A 20,844-nucleotide genomic window follows, 5' to 3' on the forward strand; every position below is an offset into this window, starting at 1 on the left:
TCCACTTTCAGAAAAAAAGCTTAGGAAAAGCTTTACTGTTTTGTTTTTGTTTTTGTTTTTGTTTTGTTTTTTTGAGACAGGGTCACACTCTATTGCCCAGGCTGGAGTGCGGTGGCATGATCACGGCTCAGTGCAGCCTTGACCCCCTGAGCTCAAGCGATCTTCCTGCCTCAGCCTCTCGAGTGGCTGGGACTGCAAGCTGCGCCACCACACCTGGCTTTTTAAACAAAACTTTTATAGAGATGGTGGTCCCACTATGTTGCCCAGGCTGGTCTTGAACTCCTGACCTCAAGCAATCCTCTGCCTTGGCCTTCCAAAGTGCTGGGATTACAGGGGTGAGCCACCACGCCCAACCAAAAGCTTTACTTTTTAGTAATTATTTTCATTTTCTTAAAAGATCACTCCTATTAAACCCTATTTTTTTTAAAGCAAGCATCAAGGATTTATTTTATTTTTTTAGAGACAGAGTCTCATTCTGTCACCCAGGCTGGAGTGCAGTGGTGTTATCATGGCTCACTGCAGCTTCAAACTCCTGGACTCAAGTGATCCTCCCACCTCACCCTCCTGAGTAGCTGGGACCACATGCATGCACCACCATACCTGGCTAATTATTTTAAATTTTTTGTAGAGATGGGATCTTGCTGTGTTGCCCAGGCTGGTCTCAAACTCCTGGCTTCAGGTGATCCTTCTGCCTCAGCCTCCCAAAGCTCTGGGATTACAGGTGTGGGCTACCATGCCCAGCTAGGGATTTCTTTTAAAAAGCAACATCACCAGGAGATGACAGGGTCAATACCAACTCACTGCTCAAATCTTCTGATAAAATCTCACTCCTTCATTCATCTACCCATCCATTCAGCCAACAATTACCTATCACATACCTAATACGTGGCAGGTGCTGAGGATACAAGATGAACAAGATGGACAGGGCCTATGCATTCATGAAGCTTATGGAATATTAGGGAAGACAGATAACAGTAAACTTGGGTCCTAAAGTTAATGTCAACGCTGCTAAATGTTTTAAAGTACCATAGTTTAAAAACGGTTCCCAAGAGTATAATCTCCCATTCAGTAAAATTAACTAAGTCCAAAGAACATTTGCATTTGAAATTAGCTTGTAACAGACAGCATATCCTTCTAATTCATAGTAGTGTCCCTTTTCTAAATAGAGAATGCATTCAGCCCAGTTTCTAAAAACAACACCGCATACCCAACAAAAGACTTCAGGCTAAAATATACTTTTCCTCTTTAGTAATGAAACCATTCTAAACAAGTTAAGGCTAAGAATGAAAAAAGAATTACCAAAGTGATCAGAGTTGTCCAAACAGCAATAAGGAAGAATAAATGCTTAGTCTATGACAGTTTGCTTGGATTAGGGGTGTCAGTCTATGAGAGCATTAAAGTACTTGTTCTCTACAAGGAAAATTCAAATACGTTTATCCTAGCCACTGTGGGCAAAACACCTTCCTTAAAAGAAAACACTGTCCTACAAGGCTCCACCACACACTAGCTGTGTGACCTTGGGCAATAACTTAACTTCTGTGGGCCTCCATCTGCATGAGCACATATACGCTAACTGAACAGGGTTGTGACGAGGATTGAATGAGATAATACACCCAACACTTAGCCCACTGCAGTGCTCAGCATCACAGTGTTGCCTTTATTCTTCCAGTGATCAGATCAAAGCAACCAGGCTGTGCTATAACATTAAAATCCCATTCCATCGGCACCCTGTGTAGTTAGTAAACTCTTGACATATCACAGTGATTGGATTGACACTAAGTAATTTACATCTGAGAAGAGGGTAGGAAAAAAACACTAAAGATTGACTGGATTAAAATTAAAATCTTCCTAAGACAAGTCAGTGCTCAAACCAGTTTAAACTGAATGCCACAGTCAGTCATTAGGTACTAGAGTTAATATAAGCGCAATTTTTCCTTGCTAAAGTTAGCACGAACTTACTTGGAGAGCACGTACTTCAGGTAGTCACTGCACCACCCTATCAGAAAAAGCTCAGCAACCACGCGTGAGTCATTTTTGCTCCACTTCATTTATTAACGCTAAGCTTAAGGGTGTCACATCCACAAGACTCAACACAGCTTCTCTTAAAGAAGAAAGTGTCATAACATATTGCCATGTGAAAGAAAGAAAAAAGGTCAGACTGCAAAATATATGATCCTATTAAATCAAAACAAAAAGAGTGGGTGAGTATGCATGTATGTGATGCATATCTTCATATATGCAGAAATTTTAAAAACCCAAAAAACTAGGATATATACCAAATCATTAACTGTAATTCCCTTCCACTAGTGTGATCAAAAAATTTTTTTTCTTTGGGTTTCCTGTGTTTTTAAAACATTAACCATGTATTTCCTTTGAACAAGGAAAAAAGTCAATGAAATTTAAAAACAAATATTATTTTGGATCCTAAAAGAATTCTCCCCAACCCCCAGCTTTTTTTTTTTTTTTTTTTTTTTTTGCAATAGGGACATCACGCTGCCATTTTTAGAGCATTCTCATTTAAATAGATGGGAGAATAATACCTTTAATTTAACTAAGAAGCCAAACAAGCTTTGAATTTGAAAAGCTAAAGATTAAAACCAATAATTAAGGTTCAAAATTGCTCCAGGGAAACGAAGTTCTCCTTTTCATACATCTCCTGTAACACAAGGAATTCTCCAGGCAGGTCTAGGCATGAACCTTCTGCAGAGAGGTGTCATGGGAAAAGCAGGAAGAGGACACACAAAGGCTCCAAAGCCTACCTCTGTTACTTATTTTATTATTATTATTATTATTTTTGAGACAGAGTCTCACTCTGTCACCCAGGCTGGAGTGCAGTGGCGCAATCTCAGCTCACTGCAGCCTCAGCCCCCAGGCCCAAGCAATTCTCCTGCTTCAGCCTCCCAAGTAGCTGAGATTACAGGTGCACGCCACCAAGCCCAGCTAATTTTTGTATTTTTAGTAGAGACAGGGTTTCACCATGTTGGCCAGGCTGGTCTTGAACTCCTGACCTCAAGTGATCTGCCTCCCTCAGCCTCCAAAAGTGCTGGAATTACAGGCGTGAGCCACCATGCCCAGCCTCTATTACTTATTAAGTAGCAAGACACCTTGGACAATGACCACCTCTCTCAGAGCCTGAATCTCCTCATGTGTAAAACTGGAAGCATCAAACTCCTGGATGGTTATGAAGCTGAATTAGATAACTTTTATAAAGCAGTGGTCTCTAAACTTTTCTGGCTTTCCACCTTATCTCTAAAAACATATACAATCAGCCCTCTATATCCATGGATTCAATCAACCTTGGATTGAAAATATGAAATTAAAAAAAATAATAACAATCCAACAGTAAAAAAGATACAAATTTAAAAATACAGCATAATAACCATTCACATTATGTTAGGTATTATAAGTAATCTAGAGATGATTTAAAAGTATACAGGAGAATGAGCATAGGTTATATATTAATACAAATACTATGCCATTTTACATAAGGGACTGAAACATTCATCGATTTTGGTATCCTTGGGGGGGGTCCTGAAACCAATGCCCCCTTGGATACTGTACATAAATGTGTGTGTGCATATAACTTACAAACTATATAAGTTCTAATTGTACTTTTATAGTGTGTATACACATAACCAGAAATTTTAATATGCAAAAAAATAATAATAAATAGAAGTTCTAGGCTGGACACAGCGGCTCACACCTGTAATCCCAGCACTTTGGAAGGCTGAAGCAGGAGGATCACTTGAGCCCAGAAGTTTGAGACCACACTAGGCAACATAGTGAGACTCCGTCTCAATCGACAGATTAGACAGCTAGATGAATGTTTCTTCCTGCTTCCCAATGAATTGTCCCAGGGACCCCTCAGGAGGCCCAAAAGCCTGACATCTGATATGCAGTGAAAGATGACATCTTTCTCCATCCCATTCCCCACCGTGCAAAGGAAAGAGGAGCACCAGCAGGGGCCAACAGCTGACATTAATTTGCCTTCTCTTCTTCCTTCCCTCCTCTTGCAATTCCGGGAGTATTTAACCCTTCTTCAAGGTCTCAAGAATAGTGAACCCTAACAGACTCAGCCATTAAAAATGCTCAGCAAGTAGCACATTCCAAGTAAGTTTAGAGACAGACCAGAACAGGAACTGATGTAAACACTATTCTCTAGAGTCACAGAGATCTTTCAGAAACTACTTTGTGAATCTGCAAAGCTTGGGTTAGAATGAGGTTTACCAGATGAGTTGACTGGGTGCCTGGAGAATGAAGTGGCCCCAAGCTCTTAAAAAACACGGCCTGTGCAAAAATCTTTAACAGCTAACCAAAAAACAAGTCAGATCTAAAATACGGCTGTATGTGAGAAGTGTGTGTACTAGCCAGCTCCCGGGGAGAGGCTTACCTTCAGTATTTCAGGTTCTTTGATATCCAGAGATCTTGTGTTCCAGTGTCGCAGATTTTTGTGTAACTTGTGATATTTATGAGCACTTGGTGGTGTAAAAAACCAAATCACGCAAACTGCAGTCATGAATCCAAGGCCAATTCCCAGAAAGAGTCCACTCACATAGTGGGGGAGGGGGAGGATGAGGTACACATAGACACACATTATAAAGAAGCCCAACGTCTTCACTGGCAATTCCGGGTGCTGCACGGCCGAGTCCACCTCGTCCTCACTGTCAAGGACCACACCATCTTCCGCGAGCACCTCTGGCTTGAGAGGAATATCTGAGAGCTTATCAACTTTACTCTCCCCCTCCGTTTCCAAATCGAAGTCCTCAGTGTACAGTTCACAAAACTCTTCATCTTCTTTGCTCACTAAGGCAGACAAAGAACATTTCTCCAGAACTAGAGAACTTGTCTTCAGGCCTAAATCCTTCAGACTGCTCCCCTGGGAACTTTTCAGTTCTATCTCTCTTGTGGGCTCACCAGTGGACTTTGGGTGGTCACTTCTGGGGATGTTGGAATCACTTCCGTAGCCATCCCCCTCAGAATCACACTCCTCCTCCTTGATGCTGTAGTTGTTATTGCTTTCCAAGTGCCCATTCAAGCTGGACAGATTGGAGAGTTCTGAAGCACTTGAAGATAAGGCTTTGGGCCTATGGCTGCCACTTTCTTCCCCTATAATTTTACTAAGGAGCTGAAAAGGCTCATAGATGACTTCTGAAAGGCGTCGTTTAGTATCTTCAATTTTAGCCTCCATTTCGGGCACTTTAAAAAAGGAACGAGTATCAGAGGGAGAAGTCAGTGGGGAAGAAGGTGCAGTTTTGGAATCTCCACCTGTGTTTCGGGGCTGTGTGAACTGCTTGAACAGGTGTAAGTTCAGTTTGGAATCAGGTGGCTTATAGGACACTGTATCCGACTCCTGCCGGGAAGTGTCCGTGGACAGAGACTTGACTAATGTCTTCATCAAGTGCCTGTGCCTTGCGGGGTGTGGGGATTCTTTTGGCTCCACCTCGGTCGACAGGGACTTCACAAGGCTCATGAAGGGTTTTGCACTGGAAAGGGTGGAGGTTGAGGCACTGGATGAGAGGATGGGAGACTTAGAAGGAGAGGACAATGGGGAGGAAGAACTGGTTTTCTGCTCAGAAAGGGATGACACACTGGGAGAGCTAGCTAAGGGCCCCGACGAAGACGACCCTGGGGACACAGCCAATGGCACTGTACTTAATACTTGTGCTGCTGGAACAGGGGACTCCAACAGCTTTACAGTGTTCTTGGAGACGGGCAAAATGGCAGGGGCCTGGGACACGGACAGTCCATCTGCCAGGACAGGCGAGGCAGCAGGGCCGGCGGGGTCATGGCCAACTTGGGGTTCAAGATAGAGGTCTTCCTTGGCTTCCAGCCCTGTTACAATGCTTTGGTCATCCAGCCCCTCCTCAAAGTACTCCCTGAACTCCTCCTCCTCTTCCTCCTCCTCCTCGCCGGATGCCGAGAAGTGAATGGCGATGGTATCTCGGGACACGGACCTCTGCACGTGCACTTTAGGGGCTGATGGTTTTGGCATGTCAGTGGTTTTCTCGGCATGGCGACCATACAGACTTGTCATTGCCGGCTTCACAAGGGCTCAGGCTCTGTGAAAACAGTGAGAAAACCAGAAGTCAGAGAGCAGTTTCTCCACAGGAGACGCTGTCATTCGCAGATAGGAGCACAGATGAAGCTGTTTAAGTGGTGATTATGCTTTTACTTGGCAGATGTCCACCGTTTTTCACTTCATTGGGTTTAATGGTTTAATTTTCACTAAATTCCAGTTAGGCATTCTCTTTTATGAGCAAACTACATAACCAATGTTATAAATGCCATACAATCTGTCTTACTTCACAACACCTGAGTAATCATTTCCTCCCTTTTAACTGGTTAATTTCTACCAACAATTTTCTATCTTAAGCCTTAAAATACCTGAACAATAGATGTTACCAGCATTGCTTGAGAAGCCCAACAGGATAAAATGTAGCATCCTGTTGAGTTTGAGGATCTTGGAACAAAAATTTCACTAGGAGTCTTGTAGCTGTAACAAGCTAACCCAGGAGGGGTATTGCGTTCACTGCAATTTTCACAGCAATCCTAACAATTATTTGGCCTGCATCTCCCAACTTCCTGCTATTGCAAGTAAGTAGCAAAGTATCCAAATGTGGAAATCTGTAAACTAATTGCCATGGTCTGTTGGCCTCCTCAAATGGTAGGTACCATAAGACCAGAGTATTTAGGCAGCCATGAAGACATGAGGCAGCCATGAGGACATGGCCACGTTCTGAGGCATCAGGATAAAGCAAACATATTTTAAACTGAATGCAAGATTCATGTGTCAGGAAAATGAAGTATCACTGCTGTAACCCACCACCAACCAAGAACTCTACCAAGGACTGTGGTGAGAGATGTGGAAGCTATGCTTTCTGCCCTTCTGGAGCTTAATAGCTGATTGCTTCTTTCTGGAGCTTAGCTGGAACGAAGTCAGAAGCCTGAAAAGCTGGGCAGCAAAACAAGATGCCACGCCCACCTTGTGACATGGTACAGTCATCTCTCTTTATTCACTCATGGCCCATTTACTGGGCACTAGCCCTACTATGTAAAAATTAAGACCACACCTGGACAGAGACCATGTAAAAAGAGCCAAGACACAGGGCACGCTTCAGAAGTTCTGAGGAGGATGACACCAGTGTGGGAGGTGGGACATCCAACGGGTCTTTGGAACTGATGGGTGAGTTGTAGTGGGATGAGCATGATTAGGCAGAGGGAAGGGACAAGGGCATAAAGATGGCAATGGGCATGGTGTGTGCAGCCACCTGGCTCTATTCTGTTTCCAGGACAGAGGGTGAGTGTGGGGAGCAGTGGGAGGCCATTGAGACAAAAGGGGCATCGTGGGGCAGTGGAAAGAGCACCCAGCTTGGGCCCAGGACATAGGGCTTCTAGTACTTGTCTTTCTACAGCTGACTCTGTGGGACTTTGAACAAGCCAGGGCCTCTCGATGTCTCAGTATCTTGGTCTGTAAAATGGAGGTAGATCCACAGTCCTTTCCAAATTTAAAACGCTACACGTTTATGTTTACAGGTGACTGTATCCAACCCAACACAATACGCTTACAAGTAATCTACCACAATCGACATTATGTGGCTTGCTTATTTCTTTAATTTGAAGAGCTCCTAATTTAAGCCTTCTGCTAAATATTCAGGTTCAAAATGCTGGCAACTGATATTACCAACAAGAGAAATCATAAAATGGGTAGGGGAATAAGGGGGTTTGGGAAACAGTGATCCTGGATCACTAGAAGGAGGAAATATTCCAAGGATGACAAGAATTACATTCAAGGGCCCAGCTGCAACATGGACTCAAGCTGAAACTACACAATTTCAGTATCAAATATTTGAGAGAAGTTACCGTAAAAACTTTCACACACAGTTCTGTCCAGGCTCATTTGTGACCCTCAGGCTTTCCTATCCTGAATCCAGGAAAAGGGAATGATCTCTATCCACCAACAAAGCAATTTAAATCCAGGAACTGGCAGCAGCCAGAAAAACACAGCCTCGGGTCCAGGACAATCCTTCCCTGTTATCTTAAGCTAAGGAATTTGTAGGCTTAGTAAGAAGAAAAATATCAGAAGCAACATATGTTTTTCATTTAACTATCACCTAGTTTTATAAGGGCAATTTAAAAAGAAAATTATAGAGGTAATTTAAAAAGAAAAGTTTGGTATTTGATAATTCTCAGTGGGCTGAAAAACTCATTTAAGTTGCTTTCATAACATAAAAGGATGATATGTAAGGCTCTGCTGTTCTGAGGCTGCTTCACCCACAGCGGTGGCTATAAATGAAGGTAACTGTGGGCACAAGTCCAAGTACAAAGTGCATGATTTTGAGGTTGAACAGAGTGAATCGGTCCTTCAGGAACCAAGGCAAGAGTGGAGAGGCCCGTCTGCAGTTGAGGATAAGAAGGCCTGGGAATCTAAGGGCAAAGTTAGGCCCAGCCTAGCGCCAAAGGGTGAAAACAGCAATGCGTTCAGAAGCCTGCGGTCTCAGCAGTCAGGCCAGGCCCCAGGGAACAAAAAGCTGGCACCTGCTCAGGAAGCAGAGTTATTTTTCGTGTGGAGGTCACCAGGACCCTGCTTGCCTAATCCTCCACACACTTGGGCCCCCTGACTGGCCAGGTAAAGCGACCTCTGATCAGACTGGGCGGACAGAGCTGAAGGTGGGCCCCAGGGAGAGCTGGGTGTCAGGTGGCCAGATGGGGGCAGGCTCTGGCTCACTGTTGTTATTGTCCTCCAGGGCTCACTCAGACAGTGGCCTCAGAGGTTCACAGTAAATGCCCCCAAACCCACACTAACCAAAGCCTGGTTCCACTTCTCTAGATTTTTACTAAAATAAGCCACACGAGGCCGGAGCATCACTACTGCTCTTTAAATACAAGAAAATGTCCAGGCTTCTGTTTGCTCATCTGCAAAATGAGGGGATTAGGCTAGATAAACAAAGGCTGCTTCCAGGCCCCAAACTGCTGGGTAATTGAGTGTGCTAGAACCAGAGACCATGGTTTGGGCTCTAGACAACCTATCAAGTGGTCACTGCCTCTGCCTCCTCCTGGGGACCACTTCAAGTTCCCTCTTCTCTCTGTCCTCCCAGTGGCTGGCTGCTAAGGCCAACTGAGCCGACCCTCCCACAGCCACAGCCATGCAGGACAGCCAAGGCCAAGAGGAAGGACCTGACTGACACCCAGGAAGACTACATGGTTTGTCCAAGGGCACAGCACTGACAACATGGGCTTCCTGACACTGAGGCCCGATGCCCGGCAGGGTGCCTTTTCAAACATGCCACACACGCTCTTTATTCCTGCTTTGTCCCAGCTTTTGTACCTGCCCTCTGTGCTCCGTCATGGACAGCTCACTTACAAGCTAAGACCTCAGTTCTCAACCAGCAGCATGTGACTGGCCGCACTGAGAAATGAAAGGTCTCATTATCCATCTGACAATCTGGTACCATATAAAATGGCTAGCCTCCTGCCCTCTACTCCTGAAACTCAATTATACCCAGGCTCAAAAAAAGAGACAAGCTTCTCTCAAGCCCTCAGGAACTGAAAGGCCAAAAAAGAAAGCTTCCTTCTCAACAGTCTCTTTTTCCCATAGTTCCAGCAGACTACAAAGCCCTTGGGTTTTAACACTGACCCCCCAAGCCTTGTGATGGGAAGGAGAGCTGTAGCTCATGTTGTCGCCAGGCTCCCATAGGTATGATTTCGTGCTGGAGAGGTGTTTAAGCAAAAGTCTGACATGATCAAAGTGGTACACAAAATTAATCACGTCCCGTCCCAGAATGGATGAGGGTGGCAGAGGCAACATGGAAAAACAGGTCTGGAGTCTGGTTGTCTGGGAAGGCAGGCTCCATTATCAGGCTCACAATTCTGCTGAACACAACTAACAATGAATACATTGAAAAAAAATTTCTGAATGGCTGGGCACGGTGGCTCACACCTGTAATCCCAGCTACTAGGGAGGCTGAGGCACAAGAATTGCTTGAATCCATGAAACAGAGGTTTCAGTGAGCTGAGACTGTGGCACTGCACCCCAGCGTGGGTGACAAAGTGAGACTCTGACTCCAGAAAAAAAAAAGTCTGAAAGGCTTTGAAGCTTCAAGAACTGAGCAAGGAATAACAGTACAGAAACTAAAGAAAACAGGAACCCCGAGGTATGAGCTCTAGAGAAGCCACCTTGCCCTCAAGCATTGGCCTAGCCTAGTCTGGCAAAGGACACTTTCACTTTTTTTTTTTTTTTTTTTTTTTTTTTTTTAAAGACAGAGTCTTGCTCTGTCACCCAGCCTGGAGTGCAGTGGCACAATCTCGGCTCATTGCAACCTCCGCCTCCCAGGTTCAAGTGATTCTCCTGCCTCGGGCTCCCCAGTAGCTGGGACTACAGACGCCCGCCACCACACCTGGCTAATTTTTGTATTTTTAGTAGAAATGGGGTTTCACCATATTGGCCAGGCTGGTCTTGAACTCCTGACCTTGTGATCCACCAATCTTGGCCTCCCAAAGTGCTGGGATTACAGGTGTGAGCCACCACACCCGGCAGCCTTTCACTTTAACAGCCTCCTGAGCAGAAGTCAACATCCAGGGCTGGCCAGCGTGGAACACCAACTGGAGACTCTTCCTCAAGGAGCCGGGACCCCAAAGGACTACAGCTACTAGGTAACAGGTGAACCAGAAGCAAACCAGGCCTCACTTAGACTGGAGGCCTAGGTTTGCCTCCTCTGAAAGAACCAGGGAATCTCAACCATGAGCTTCTTCCAAGGTGGTCTTGGACCAGAAATACCTCCAGGGACCTGGCAGAAGAAATTCTCTCCCCACGAAAGCAAAGCACTTTCACCCGAAGCCTCAAGTTATTCCGAGAAATACTTTCTCAAATACAATGAATGGTAAGCACATAACCAAAGGTAACCAAGCAGATGAGGAAACAAGACTAAGGACCAGCAGAAATAGAATATAACAGAAAAATAAGGACTTCAGATAATGGAATTATCAGGCATAGATTTGTTTTTACAAGTATGCATCAAGATGAGTTTAAAATACCTACAGGGAGTCCAGGCACAGTGGCTCACGCCTGTAATCCCAGCACTTTGGGAGGCTGAGGTGGGTGGATCCCTTGAGGTCAGGAATTCGAGACCAGCCTGGCCAACATGGCAAAACCTCATCTCTACTAAAAATACAAAAATCAGCTGGACGTGGTGGCGCATGCCTGTAATTCAAGCTACTCAGGAGGCTGAGACACAAGAATCGCTTGAAACTGAGAGAAGGAGGTTTCAGTAAGGCAAGATTGGGCCACTGCACTCCAGCCTGGGCAACAGAGTGAGACTCCATCTCATCAAATAAAATAAAATAAAATAAAATAAAATAAAATAAAATAAAATATCTAAAGGGAGAATTACAGGCAAGCAGACCAGTTTTAAGGCTATTCTGGCAGCCAAAGCATGATGTAAGAAATGCCTAAACTAGAGGAGTGGATGTGGAGCTGGCAAGAAAAGGCAGATGGAAAGAGAAGGAAAAGAATGAAGCAACAGGACCAGATGGAAGGTTGGAAAGGAAAAGAAAACATGAGGAACAGTCCAAATTGACTTAAGTCACTAAAGAGATAAGTCTAGTTCCTGTGAAGGCAGGCAGGGGAGATAAGGGACGTGGTACACAGGTAATGCTCCTCCCCTACCCCACTCAGAGACGTCCACATCCTAGTCCCTAAAACCTGTGAATCTGTTACTTCCCATGGCAACAGAGATTTTGCAGATATGATTGAGATGGAAAGATTATCCTGGATTGCCTGGGTGGGCCCAATGTAATCACAAGTGCCCTTAAAAGATATGAGGAAGGCAGAAACTCAGAGAAGGCGATGTGAAACAGAAGCAGACATCAGAGTAATGAGAGCAAGGAGCATGACCCAAGGAATGCAGGTGGCCTATGGAGGGGAAGAAAATATCTGCAAATCATTTATCTGATAAGGGGTTAATATCCAGAAAATGTAAAGAACTCTAATAACAAACAACTTGACACCTTATACAAAAATTAACTCAAGATGGATTAAAGACTTAAACGGAAAACCCAAAAACTATAAAAACCCTAGAAGAAAATCTAGGCAATACCATTCATGACATAGGCACAGACAAAGATTTCATGATGAAAACGTCAAAAGCAATTGCAACAAAAGCAAAAACTGACAAATGGAATCTCATTAAACTAAAGAGCTTCTGTGCAGCAAAATAAACTATCATCAGAGTGAACAGGCAACCTACAGAATGGGAGAAAATTTTTGTAATCTATCCATCTGACAAAGGTCTAATATCCAGAATCTACAAGGAACCTAAACAAACGTACAAGAAAAAAACAACCCCATTAAAAAGTGGGCAAAGGACATGAACAGACATTTCTCAAAAGAAGACATTTATGCAGCAAAAAAAATATGAAAAAAAGCTAAATATCACTGATCATTAGAGAAATGCAAATCAAAACCACAATGAGATACCATCTCACACCAGTCAGATGACAATTATTAAAAAGTCAAGAGAAAACAGATGCTGGTGAGACTGTGGAGAAATAGGAATGCTTTTACACTGTTGGTGGGAATATAAATTAGTTCAACCATTGTGGAAGACAGTGTGGCAATTCCTCAAAGACCTAGAACCAGAAATACCAGTTGACCCAGCAATGCCATTACTGGGTATATACCCAAAGGAATATAAATCATTCTCTTATAAAGATACATGCACACATACGTTCACTGCACCACTATTCACAATAGTAAAGACACAGAATCAACCCAAATGCCCATCAATGATAGACTGGACTAAAAAAATGTGGTATATATACACCATGGAATACTATGCAGCCATAAAAAGAAATGAGATCATGTCCTTTCCAGGGACATGGATGGAGCTAGAAGCCATTATCCTCAGCAAACTAACACAGTAACAGAAAACCAAACACTGCATGTTCTTACTTATAAGTGGGACCTGAACAATGAGAACACTTGGACACAGAGAAGGGAATAACACACACTGGGGCCTGTCAGGGGGCAGGGGGCAGGAAGAGGGAGAGCATCAGGATAAATAGCTAATGCATGTGGGGGTTAACACCTAGGTTGACAGGTGCAGCAAACAAGCATGGCACACATTTACCTATGTTAACAAACCTGCAAGTCCTGCACATGTATCCTGGAACTTAAAATTAAATTACATTTTTAAAAAAATGGGCAAAGGACTTGAAAGGACAGTTCTCCAAAAAGATATACAAATGGGCAACAAGCACATGGAAAGATGCTCAACATCACTAGTTATTAGGAAAATGCAATTAAAACCGCAATGAGATATCACCCCACATCCATTAGGATGACTACAATTAAAAAAGAAGAAAAGAAGTGTTGGCAAGGTTGTACAGAGATTAGAGTTTTTGTGCACTATTGGCAAGACTGTAAAATGGCGCAACTGGTATGGAAGTTTCTCAAAAGTTAAAAATAGAACTACCATATAATCCTCCAATCCCACTTCTGGGTATATATCCAAAAGAATTGAAAGCAGGGTCTCAAAAAGATATTTGCACACCCATGTTCACAGTGGCATTTCAGACAATGGCCAAGAGGTGGAAGCAACCCAAGTGTCCACTGACAGATGAATGGACAAACACAAGGGAATATTATTCAGCCTTAAAAGGAAGGAAATCCTGTCACATGCTACTACATGGATGAACCTTGAGGACATTATGCTAACGAAATAAGCTGACTAGTCACATAAAGACAAATACTGTATGATTCCACTTACAAGAGGTATCTAAAGTAGTCAAATTCATAGCAACAGAAAGGAAAATGAAGAGTTCCATGGGCTGGCAGAGGAGGAAATGGGGAGATGTTGTTTAATGGATACAGAATTTCAGTTTTATAAGATGAAAAAGTTCTGGAGATTGGTTGTATAACAATGTGAATATACTTAATACTACCGAACTTAAAAATGGTTAAGATGGTAAAATTTTGCTATACGTATTTTATCATAATTAAAAATAAAATTTGAAGGCCAGTATATGTGCAGGTTAGTTACATTTTAAAAAGCAAAAATTGGTCAGGCGCGGTGGCTCACGCTTGTAATCTCAGCACTTTGGGAGGCTGAGGTGGGTGGATCACCAGGTCAAGAGATTGAGACCATCCTGGCCAACATGGTGAAACCCGTCTCTACTAAAAATACAAAAATTAGCTGGGTGTGGTGGTGGGCACCTGTAATCCCAGTTACTCGGGAGGCTGAGGGAGGAGAATCGCTTTAACCTGGGAGTCAGAGGTTGCAGTGAGCTGAGATCGCGCCACTGCACTCCAGCCTGGCAACAGAGCGAGATTCCAACTCACAAAAAAAAAAAAAAAAAAGCAAAAATTGGAGGTCAAGATGGGAGGACTGCTTAAGGCTAGGAGTTTGAGACCAGCCTGGTCAACACAGGAGACCCATCACTATTTTAAAAAATAAACAAATAATATAAAATTTTAAAAGATTTCACTCTTCAAAACTACAAAGAAATAATACTCTGAACCACTTGTTATGCCAACTAAAACAATTCTATTCAAAAACTTCACATTGTTCTTTAGTGTTTACACTACAGTGTGGTTAAGTTATAAGATAATAGATGTAAATGTATTTATGCTCCCATACATTTGGGGTGGGGCAGGGGTGGGGTGGGGGAGGCTATTTGGAGCCAAATGCCCTCTAAACCTTAGCCTTGATCCGGTATGTTTCCAGAAAGCAGGATGTCTCAAACTCTTCTGCTGATGGGTCCTTCCTAAGGTCTTTGCCAGAATCCTCCTTTAAGGTTGCTATCCCTATGAAGAAGTTCATCTCTCCCATTAAGACTGAGAAAGCCTCTAATAAGGGCTTCTCTCTCCAGAATTTATGTAGGATTCTGTTCTATCTAGTTTACAAATTAGTAGCTGCCATCTAACTTGAACTCATAAAAAACAAAGGCCTCAAACTGGAGCCAACTGCGCTCTGTGTCAGTGGAGTCAGAGTGAGCGTATCAAACAGCAATGAGGTTTATTTGCTTTCTGTTCACCCAAAAAGGTCATCATCATCAATTAGGCCATGAAAAACCAATCAACAATAAATCAGGCTGTATAATAAAAAATGAAGAGCCATTTCAAGACTCAATATTAGCATTTATTAATTCCAAGATAATATTAACCTCACTGAATCTGGCTTTTTTTTTTTTTTTTTCACTTTTTTTCTTTGGTCTCATTTTCTACTAATAACTGCCCTTCCTAGCTCTGTCTTTCACAATCCTGGGGTTCTAGAATCAGAGCCATAAAAAGAGCAGATGGTTCGTTCCAGGCCACTCAATTATCACCAACACGTGTTTGTTCATAGCAAACACACTAGGCCAAATAGTAGTATAGCCATGAATATTATTTACTTCTAATTCATATACTAGATTAGAGGAAATACTGGAGGAAAGAATGAGAGACAGGGTAAGGCAGGGAGGGAAGAAAGCAAATTTCATTGAAAATGGAACCAGCCTCCAGGTACAGTGTACAGTGAGCACGGTAACAGAGCATCTTTTTTTTTTTTTTTTTTTGCGATGGAGTTTCACTCTTATTGCCCAGGCTGGAGAGCAATGGCACGATCTAGGCTCACTGCAACCTCCAGCTCCCAGGTTCAAGCGATTCTCCTGCTTCAGCCTCCTGAGTTGCTGGGATTACAAGTGCCTGCCACAACACCTGACTAATGTTTTTTATTTTTAGTAGAGACGGGGTTTTACCATGTTGGCCAGGAGGCCGAGGCAGGTAACACAGCATCTGAAGGGGCAAGCCTGGTGTCGAGTGTGCTTCCTTTCTCGGGACCATCCCTAATCCTTCAAGGTCATTATTCACATTCTTTGTCTTTGTAAAATTCAGCCTGTTAGGCATTTGCTACCTCTGAACAAGCTTGCATTTGGACATTTGATGTATGAGTACCATCTGCTAGCTTGGGTTATGTCAGTCAACAGTTTCAATCCAAAAGCTCCTGGCAGAGGAAAAGAAGGCAAGCTGCATTCTATTGCAGAGGATGTCTTAATACTTCTTACCTGTGCATTTTTTAATAGGAGTTGGTTTTGTAAAAAGGAGGGAAAAGGCTATAAGATTCTGTATTTTTCTGCCTTGATGCCACAGAGCAAAACAGTGAATCTGGTCAAAACCAACCACGGCAGGAAGGTCTGATTTAGCCTACAAATCTCAAGTACATCTTAAGAGCTATCCCTTGATTCATTTAAATTCAATGAAGCAGCTGAGAACTGCCAGCAGCCATTCTAATCTGTTAATACTCCACCTCACAAACAAAAATCAATATGACATTGTAGATAATGAACTAGCTCTAGCCTTAGTTTCATTTAAAGAAAAGAAAAAGACAAGACTCTATCTTCATCACTGGCAAGAAACTTGGAAATCCTTTCCCATTAGTTGTTAGGTTCCCAGGCCCCTACTCACCATCTCTTCCGACCCAGCAGGGTCCTGCACCACCACCAACACAGCACAGGGTTTAGACGAAGAAACTAGCAGGCCCACTCCCTTCCACCACCGCATAGACCTTTTACCTGCCATGAAGAAAGCCCACTCTGGGAAGAGTGCCACATCCCAGAGGAAAGGGGGGTTCGAAAGCATCAATACAATTAGAATTTTGCTTTATAGATTGCTAGATGGCTCAAATAACAAAATCAAATTCAATTCACAGTAACTCATTGAAAACCAGGTCATGCGTTCAGCACAACCATACAAGGCCTGTGGAGGTTTATAAAAAATAATAATGGGGGCATCTACAGGGGAAAACTCAAGGAGACAACACATAGACATCAGAAAATGACATCAATATGGGGTCACAGAAACCCTAGAATAAGTAATGATAACTCAGGACAGGTGTGTCCTAAACAGATGGTACTTATCAAGTAAAGAAGTCTGGGAATAACTTTTTTTTTTTTAAAGCAGAAAAGTCATCTATGTGTCTTAGAAGGAGGATATGCAGAGAAGAGAATATTGCAGGCTGGGCACAGTGGCTCAAGCCTGTAATTCCAACACTCTGAGAAGCCGAGGCGGGAGGAATGCTTGAGTCCAGGGGTTCGAGACCAGCCTGGACAATACAGCGAGACACTATCTCTATTTAAAAACAACAAAAAAAGAATATTGTGGATATGAAGCAACAGCACATGGAAGGGCATTGAGATGGGAACAAGGCAGCTACACAAGAGGGACGTTAACTGCTACCTGAAGCTGAGGGGTGGTGCTAGGGGTGAGGAAAGAATATTAATATTTGAGTTCAGGAGCAGGCAATCAATTGTTCCAAACCTCTAAATGTGCTTGAATTTATATTTAAATCTTAAAAAGAAAACCTTTCCATGTACTTTTCACCAATCATTCCTAAACCGTAGGCTCTTGAGAAATCTGAAAACCAGGAGTAAGCATTTTTCTTCAGAGGAATGAATGCCTGGAAGCCAAGAGAGTATGGTGCCGAAAGCCCAAGATATGAGAATAGTGTGTTGTGGCTGTGGTCACAAAACAACACATTTTTCTTTTCTTTTCTTTTTTTTTGTTTGTTTTTTGTTTTTTTGAGACAGAGTCTCGATCTGTCACCCAGGCTGGAGTGCAGTGGCAAGATTTCAGCTCACTCCAACCTCTACCTCCCGGGTTCAAGCCATTCTCTTGCCTCAGCCTCCCAAGTAGCTGGGATTACAGGTGTATGCCACCACAACCAGCTAATTTTTGTATTTTTAGTAGAAACAGAAATTCGCCATGTTGGCCAGGCTGGTCTTGAACTCCTGGCCTCAGGTGATCTGCCTGCCTTGGCTTCCCAAAGTGCTGGGATTACAGGCGGAAGCCACCATGCCTAGCCAAAACAACACATTTTCAAAAGCTGATGCTCATGGGGTAACATGTTAACAACAATGTACCTTTGGGAAAGGGTTTAAGATTCCATTTTTACTTTTGCATCCATTTTAAAGTTTGAAACTATGTCCAAATTAAAAACAAAAGCAGCATTCCTAACCACTGTTTGGCTTTGGGGATATCATGAGAGCTGCTCCCCTCCCGTCCCTATTGGTTCTACCAGTTGGGATTATCAAGCAGGGTTCCAGGCAGTAAGAGGAGAGAGCTGAAGTTGTACCATTCCTTAAATTCTCAAGCTTCATTTTGAAATAATGACAGATTCTCAGGAAGTTGCCAAAGTAGTACAGAGAGGTTCCATGTACTTTTCACCAATCATTTCTAAAATTTTAAAGGCAAATCTTGTAAGTCAGATAAATTCCAAGTGGTTAAGAAATCATGTTTTTAACTTTCATGCAATGTAAGAAAAATGCATTCCACCTGGCAGAGTAAAACTTCCCCTTAGAAGGACTTACAGTCTTTCTTAAGGTCTTTCTTTAATGGTCAAATTTAGGAAGGCATCTTCAATAGGTATCTCCCAAGTACATGAACAGGCACTTCACCCAAAAGTTCAAATGGCCAAGAAACAAATAAAAAACTCAACCTTACTAAAAATAATACAGAATTGGAAACAAACCGATGAAATAATTTCTCTCAATGATTAAAACATGTATGATGCTGGCAAGGGCACAATGAGACAAACCCTCTCTTGCACTAAGGCTGGAACATAATTAGCAAAAACTTTGCTGAAAACTGGTATTAGAAACTAGAAAATTAGTAAAAACTTTTCTGTAGTATAAAAGTAGTATAAAAAATAATAAAATATTTATAAAAAATAATGGGTGCATCCACAGGGAAAACTCAAGGAGACAACACATAGACATCAGAAAATGACATCAGGCTGGGCACGGGGGCTCACGCCTGTAATCCCAGCTCTTTGGGAGGTCGAGGCAGGCAGATCACAAGGTCAAGAGATCGAGACCATCTGGGCCAACATGGTGAAACCCCGCCTCTACTGAAAATACAAAAATTAGCTGGGCGTGGCGGTGCGCGCCTGTAGTCCCAGCTACTCGGGAGGGTGAGGCAGGAGAATTACTTGAACCCTGGAGGCGGAGGTTACAGTGAGCTGAGATCCTGCCACTGCACTCCAGCCTGGTGACAGAGTGAGACTCCGTATCAAAAAAAAAAAAAAAGAAAATGACATCAATATGGGGGCAAAAAATCCCTAGAATAAGTAATGAAAACTCAGGACAGGTATGTCCTAAACAGATGGTACTCATCAAGTAAGTACTCATCAAGCTGACACCAATGTACAAATGTCTGCACTGGGCAAAAAAAAGGAGAGGGTAGCATTAATTCTCATTTTCTCCATATAACAGGTTTAACAGTAATTGTTATTTGCTAATTTCAGGTATTTCCAAATACTTTTGTGATCTGGAAAAAAAATTATATGTAAACACATGTCAATCTTTTAAAAATTATTATAATCATTATCTTCAGAATATAAAATTGCCCTAGCCAATCCTCCGTGCCTTACCCACAAGAAAACTAAGGCAGAAAGACTCATTTTTATTAAATGAGGACACACTGTATGTATGTATGTAATCTGCTTTTATACTCAAGATTACACACTGAAGTAATCTATCATTAGCAAGGCCTTTAGTTTGAGTTCCACCAACTTGGTAGCAGTCTGGCCCTCTGGCAAATCATTTACCCTAACCAAGCCTAAGCTTCTTTTCATCTGTAAAATGGGAATGGCAACTGACTGTTCAGAAGATTAAACGAAACAACTTAAGCAAAGCACTGAGCATGATCCCTGGCACAGAGCAGCCCTCCCTAATTGTTTACTGTTCTTATAAGCATTTTCTCAAATCAAAGATTATTTCATGCATGATTTTTAATCGCTGTATAGGATGAATATTCCATAATGTAATTCAAGAATACCACTTGAATTTCTTATTACAAACAAGACTGCAATGCTGCACATGATGCTATAGATAAACCTTTGACTAGCTATAGATAAACCTTTGACTGCCCTCTGGTTATTTCCTTAGGAAATATTTCTAGAAGTGAAATGAGAGAGTTGAACCATATGTATACATCTTCACTTCAATAAAAAATATATAATTTCAAACTCATTGAAAAAAACTTCAAAAACAGATGTAGAGGAAAAGTGAAATTTTCTCCTCCTCCCTGCAAAATCAGCTTCATGGAAGACAATTTTTCCACGGACCAGAGGCAGCGGGGTATGGTTTCGGGATGATTCAAGTATACTGCATTTATTGTGCATTTCATTTCTATTGTTATTACATTGTATATAATGACACAATTCTACAACTCACAATAATGTAGAATCAGTGGAAGCCCTGAGCTTGTTTTCCTGCAACTAGACAGTCCTATCTGGGGGTGCTGGGAGACAGTGACAGATCATCAAGCATTAGATTCTCATAAGGAGGAGCAACCTAGATCCCTCGCATGCGCAGTTCACAGTAGGGTTTACACTCCTATGAGAATCTGTGCCGCTACTGATGTGACAGGAGGTGGAGCTCAGGCAGTCATGCGAGGGATGGAAAGGGGCTGTAAATACAGATGAAGCTTTGCTCACTCACCCACAGCTCACCTCCTGGTGTGCAGCCTGGTTCCTAGCAGGCCATGGACCGCTCCTGGTCTGTGGCCCGGGGATTGGGGACCCCTGGTTTAGAACGTATCTTTCCAGACCTTTCATAGGCATTTTGTGTGCATACAAAAGGTAGTGCGCACAAATAAAGTTGTTTTTGTTTTTACTTTTAAATGAGATCATATTATACAAATTGTTTTGCATTTGTTTTTTACTTACTATTTCTTGGACCACCTCCTATGGCCTATACCTATGGACTGACAGGTACACACACACACACACACACACACACACACACACACACACACCTTTTCTACACAGTAAGGTATGCCACTATTAACTTAATCATTTTTTTATTTGATAG

The 20,844-nt window shown here is 42.6% G+C and overlaps 1 protein-coding gene across 14 annotated transcripts in view, besides 3 other annotated features; it reads right to left on the reverse strand.

The window, feature by feature from the left end:
* TEX2 (testis expressed 2) overlaps nucleotides 1-20,844 on the reverse strand; it is a 116,034-nt gene that overhangs the window by 60,957 nt on the left and 34,233 nt on the right. For all 14 annotated transcript variants that reach the window (XM_017024846.3, NM_001288732.2, XM_011525000.3 and 11 more), the window contains exon 2: nucleotides 4,391-6,059. In XM_017024846.3, the coding sequence (XP_016880335.1) occupies nucleotides 4,391-6,034 (1,644 nt within the window). In that variant the 5' untranslated portion in view covers nucleotides 6,035-6,059. The remainder of the gene's footprint in view (nucleotides 1-4,390; nucleotides 6,060-20,844) is intronic.
* Nucleotides 8,026-8,858: an enhancer, noted in NCBI's record as "H3K27ac-H3K4me1 hESC enhancer chr17:62293569-62294401 (GRCh37/hg19 assembly coordinates)". NCBI's record gives its function as "activates a minimal SCP1, AML or CMV promoter by ChIP-STARR-seq in primed H9 embryonic stem cells {active_cell/tissue: H9 hESC(primed)}" and the evidence as "EXISTENCE:reporter gene assay evidence [ECO:0000049][PMID:30033119]".
* Nucleotides 8,457-8,656: an enhancer, noted in NCBI's record as "active region_12588". NCBI's record gives its function as "activates an Ori minimal core promoter by ATAC-STARR-seq in GM12878 lymphoblastoid cells {active_cell/tissue: GM12878}" and the evidence as "EXISTENCE:reporter gene assay evidence [ECO:0000049][PMID:35858748]".
* Nucleotides 8,859-9,690: an enhancer, noted in NCBI's record as "H3K27ac-H3K4me1 hESC enhancer chr17:62294402-62295233 (GRCh37/hg19 assembly coordinates)". NCBI's record gives its function as "activates a minimal SCP1, AML or CMV promoter by ChIP-STARR-seq in primed H9 embryonic stem cells {active_cell/tissue: H9 hESC(primed)}" and the evidence as "EXISTENCE:reporter gene assay evidence [ECO:0000049][PMID:30033119]".

The sequence above is a fragment of the Homo sapiens genome, chromosome 17 (genome assembly GCF_000001405.40).
Source record: "Homo sapiens chromosome 17, GRCh38.p14 Primary Assembly".
NCBI lineage: Eukaryota > Metazoa > Chordata > Mammalia > Primates > Hominidae > Homo > Homo sapiens.